The sequence below is a fragment of the Homo sapiens genome, chromosome 11 (genome assembly GCF_000001405.40).
Source record: "Homo sapiens chromosome 11, GRCh38.p14 Primary Assembly".
In the NCBI taxonomy this organism is placed as follows: domain Eukaryota; kingdom Metazoa; phylum Chordata; class Mammalia; order Primates; family Hominidae; genus Homo; species Homo sapiens.
The window spans coordinates 38,166,238-38,170,889 of NC_000011.10; the positions used below are offsets into that span (position 1 = coordinate 38,166,238).

General features: G+C 36.6%; 1 annotated feature.

Annotated features, from left to right (window-relative positions):
* Positions 2,882 to 4,081: an enhancer, noted in NCBI's record as "P300/CBP strongly-dependent group 1 enhancer chr11:38190669-38191868 (GRCh37/hg19 assembly coordinates)". NCBI's record gives its function as "activates an origin of replication core promoter dependent on BRD2, BRD4, P300/CBP, MED14 and CDK7 cofactors, with strong dependence on P300/CBP, by STARR-seq in HCT116 cells {active_cell/tissue: HCT116}" and the evidence as "EXISTENCE:reporter gene assay evidence [ECO:0000049][PMID:35650434]".

Sequence of the window (4,652 nt, forward strand, 5' to 3'; positions counted from 1 at the left end):
CTGCATCTATTGAGATAATCATGTGGTTTTTGTCTTTGGTTCTGTTTATGTGATGTATTACCTTTATTGATTTGTGTATATTGAACCAGGCTTGCATCCCAGGGATGAAGCCAAGTTGATCATGATGGATAAGCTTTTTGATGTGCTGCTGGATTCGGTTTGCCAGTATTTTATTGAGGATTTTCGCATTGATGTTCATCAGGGAAATTGGTCTAAAATTCTCTTTTTTGGTTGTGTCTCTGCCAGGCTTTGGTATCAGGATGATGCTGGCCTCATAAAATGAGTTAGGGAGGATTCCCTCTTTTTCTATTGATTGGAATAGTTTCAGAAGGAATGGTACCAGCTCCTTTTTGTACCTCTGGTAGAATTCAGCTGTGAATCCATCTGGTCCTAGACATTTTTTGGTTTGTAGGCTCTTAATTATTGCCTCAAATTCAGAACCTCTTATTGGTCTATTCAGGGATTCAACTTCTTCCTGGTTTAGTCTTGGGAGGGTGTATGTGTCCAGGAATTTATCAATTTCTTATAGATGTTCTAGTTTATTTGCATAGAGGTGTTTATAGTATTCTCTGATGGTAGTTTGTATTTCTGTGGGATCGGTGGTGATATCCCTTTATCATTTTTTATTGCGTCTACTTGATTCTTCTCTCTTTCCTTCTTTATTAGTCTTGCTAGTGGTCTATTTTGTTGATCTTTTCAAAAAACCAGCTCCTGGATTCATTGATTTTTTTAAACTTTTTTTGTGTTTCTATCTCCTTCAGTTCTGCTCTAATCTTAGTTATTTCTTGCCTTCTGCCAGCTTTTGAATTTGTTTGCTCTTGCTTCTCTAGTTCTTTTAATTGTGGGTTAGGGTGTCCATTTTAGATCTTTCCTGCTTTCTCTTGTGAGTATTTATTGCTATAAATTTCCCTCTACACAACTGCTTTAAATGTGTTCCAGAGATTCTGGTACATTGTGTCTTTGTTCTCATTGGTTTCAAAGAACATCTTTATTTCCGCCTTCATTTTGTTATGTACCCAGTAGTCATTCAGGAGCAGGTTGTTCAGTTTCCATGTAGTTGTGCGGTTTTGAGTGAGTTTCTTAATCCTGAGTTCTTATTTGATTGCACTGTGGTTTGAGAGACTGTTGTGATTTCTGTTTTTTACATTTGCTGAGGAGTGCTTTACTTCCAACTATGTGGTCAGTTTTGGAATAACTGCGATGTGGTGCTGAGAACTAATGTATATTCAGTGTTTACTATTTGGATGATGGGTATACTAAAAACCCAGACTTGAGCACTGTGCAATATATCCATGTAACAAAACTGCACTCGTACCTCTAAATCTATAAAAATAAAACATAAATAAAATTTCAAAGGAATTTAAAAAATAAATACAATCAATTATAGAAAAAATGTAATCCTTGCACATCTGATTTCTGTACTGTGATTTTATCCAAAGTTGCTCCTAATATCTGCAATTTTAAAAATCTTAGGGCCATGTGTGCAGTGGAGATGACTGATTTTTTGCTTCTCTAAACCCTATATTCTTAACCTCAGACTTACAGTGTCAAAGAAGAAGTTACGCAAAACCTAGGAGGAATGACATCTAGTGCAGTTGAAGAAAGTAAAACTGCATTTGGATTTGCCTCTTCCCCTAAGATGATCCTATATTCTTAAACTCTGAAGAGACCTCCCATAGACTTTAAGATATATTTTACTTTATAGAAAGTATTATAGCTCCAATTAAGCAGCTATTTTGCCAAAAGCCGAACAGACTCAGTAGGAACTCATTGATGCACTAGCTAGTCATCAGATATTTATGTGTGCTGGGTCAAATTAGGTTGTATGATACTGTGGCCCCAATCTGAAAATTTGAGTTCAAGTTCCACATTTGCCACTAATGAGCTATGTGACCTTGAGAAATCAACTTAACCTTTGAGAACTTCAATTTCTTTTTCTGTAAAATTGAGACTGGATGGAGAGTAAAGTTCTTTTTATCTGTGAAAACACCCTGATTCTATTTTTTCCCCAAACACAACTACCATATTCAGTCAAAATCTGTTATAACACATTGATCTCCTAAAAAGGCTGGCTTCTTCTGCTTATCTGGCTGGAACATCCTTACCTCAAGCACCAGCATTATAAAGGGATTTATATACAGTATTATTCCTGAGAAGTGTGTCTTTGGCAGAGGCAAATAGAAATTGCAAAGCAAAATTAGGTTTGTGCATATTTTGCTGGAGAAAAAAAAAAAACAACCTCTCTTCCTCTGTGGCCTAGCTTTTAAAATTTCAATTTTTGCCTCCACTAGCCAAAAGAAACTGAACGTTGTGCAGTTATTCAGTGAAAATGCAAGTGTTGAATAGAAAAATCTGGGCAGCTCCAAGATTTCATAAACTATGAAGGTTTTTTTTTTCTCAAAGAAATATGGTTTTAAACTTAGGATGCTGTCTATAGTATTTCAACAGCAATAAAAGACAAACAGCTAAATTAAAGACTCTATATATGGAGAGCGTCTACACACACACACAATTCTCTGTCATATGTACCTGGATAAATCAAAAAGGGATAGGATTTAAACTGCTTTCAAGCACTTAACATTGAGTTGCTCAGAATACAATCATGTGCTTTTTTTCTTTTTCTCCTTCTTCTCAAGGGAATCTCTTTCATTCTAGAGATAAATAACCTTTTTAGCTGATGCTACTCTATTAACTTACATCTGAATAACAAAAATATGCATCAGTGCTTGACTATTTTAGATGATTCTGAGTTATCTCAAACTTAATTTAACTATAAAATGACTTTGATTTCCACTGCCTCTGCTTTAGGCATTCCTACCATAGAAAATGAAGCCACCACATTACAAATACTCATACCTGAAGTCTAGATGTGAATGCCAACTACATGCTTTTCCTCATTTCTACATCTCATCCTTCAGCATATTTTATCAGTTCAGTTTGCAAATCAGGTCTCGACTGGGTCCTGCTCTCCACACCCATTCCACACTGTTCTATCATTATCCAGGCCAGTATTTTCTCACTCTTGAATACTCTCAGTCAGCGCCCATTGTAATCCATTTATAATTAAATAGTAAGAATTAGTTCCTTTAAAATCTAAAGGTAAGTCTGTTGCTTCCTATTTAAATATTTCAATGGTCAGCCAATGGATAAAAATAAGCCTGGAACTTCACTCCTAAACCTTCAATAAGCCAGCTCTTTATTATATGACTCATTGTTTATTCACGTCTATGTTGCATAACTTCCATCTTTACTCATAGACTGTCACCTTTTTGATCTTATTTTTTTTTAGATTTTGAAGCATACTTAGCTCTTTGCAGCTCAGAGATTGTTGACCTGATGTTACTTCTGTTTGAAAGATTCCCCTCCTCCTCTCCCATTTGCTTGTTTTATTTCTTAATGTTTTAGCCTAAATGTTATGTTTAACAGAACTTTTAGGGTGTTTAACAGACACCCTTCCTAAAATAAATCTCGCCCACCTCATACTATTAACTTTTTCTACACCAGCACTTTGTTTTCTTCTTTATAATATTGTTATAACATTGTTATAAGTGATTATATAAGATATGTAAACACTATATCAATAGTTTATTCACTTGTCATTTATTTTTGCATCTAGAATGCAAACTCCATATGGTTAGATTATACCTGTACTAAACTCATTTCCTAGCTGGAAGTAGCTGCAAATAAGCATTTTCTTTTTTTGAATATTGAATAAAAGAATTATCTTGCAAAGAGTGTGGAGTTTTCATCCTGAAGTGAAGCAACTGTGATGTTTGTATCTGACTATGTGGGATTCAGTGTTGGATGTGTAACCTAAGGGCTGCTGTTTGCCACCCCAGAAGACAAGGGATAGATGGTAACTTAAAATACCATCAAGCTTTCTTCAGGCCCAGTGTCTATAGGCTACTTAAAACATAAACTTGGCCAGACACGGTGGCTCACGCCTACAATCCCAGCACTTTGGGAGGCCGAGGTGCGCAGATCACAAGGTCAAGAGATTGAGACCATCCTGGCCAACATGGTGAAACCCTGTCTCTACTAAAAGTACAAAAATTAGTTGGGTGTGGTGGCACGCACATGTAATCCCAGCTACTCGGGAGGCTGAAGCAGAGGAATCGCTTGAACCCAGAAGGCGGAGGTTGCAGTGAGCTGAGATCACGCCACTGCACTCCAGCAGCCTGGGCGACAGAGTGAGATTATCTCAAAAAAAACCAACAACAACAACAAAAAATTAGCCATGTGCTCTGGCACGCACCTGTAATCCCAGCTACTCAGGGGGCTGAGGCAGGAGAATCGCTTGAACCTGGCGGGGGTGGAGGTTGCAGTGAGCCAAGATCGCACCACTGAACTCCAGCTTGAGGGACAGAGTGAGACGCCGTCAAAAAAAAAGAAAAGAAAAAAAAAACATGAACTTGATCATTACACATACTACACATGTAACAAGTACTCATATGTACCACATATATATATATAAAATATTTTTTATTAATGAAGCAAAAAAAATAAACTGACTTCTCCTATAAAACATTCCAACAACCACTATGATTTTTCACACTGTGCTTTCAAAATTGGATGCCCGTAATAACAACAGAGGGAAGGAAATAACAAAACAGACACATCAGTTTCCTCATCAGAATAAACAGACTAAAATT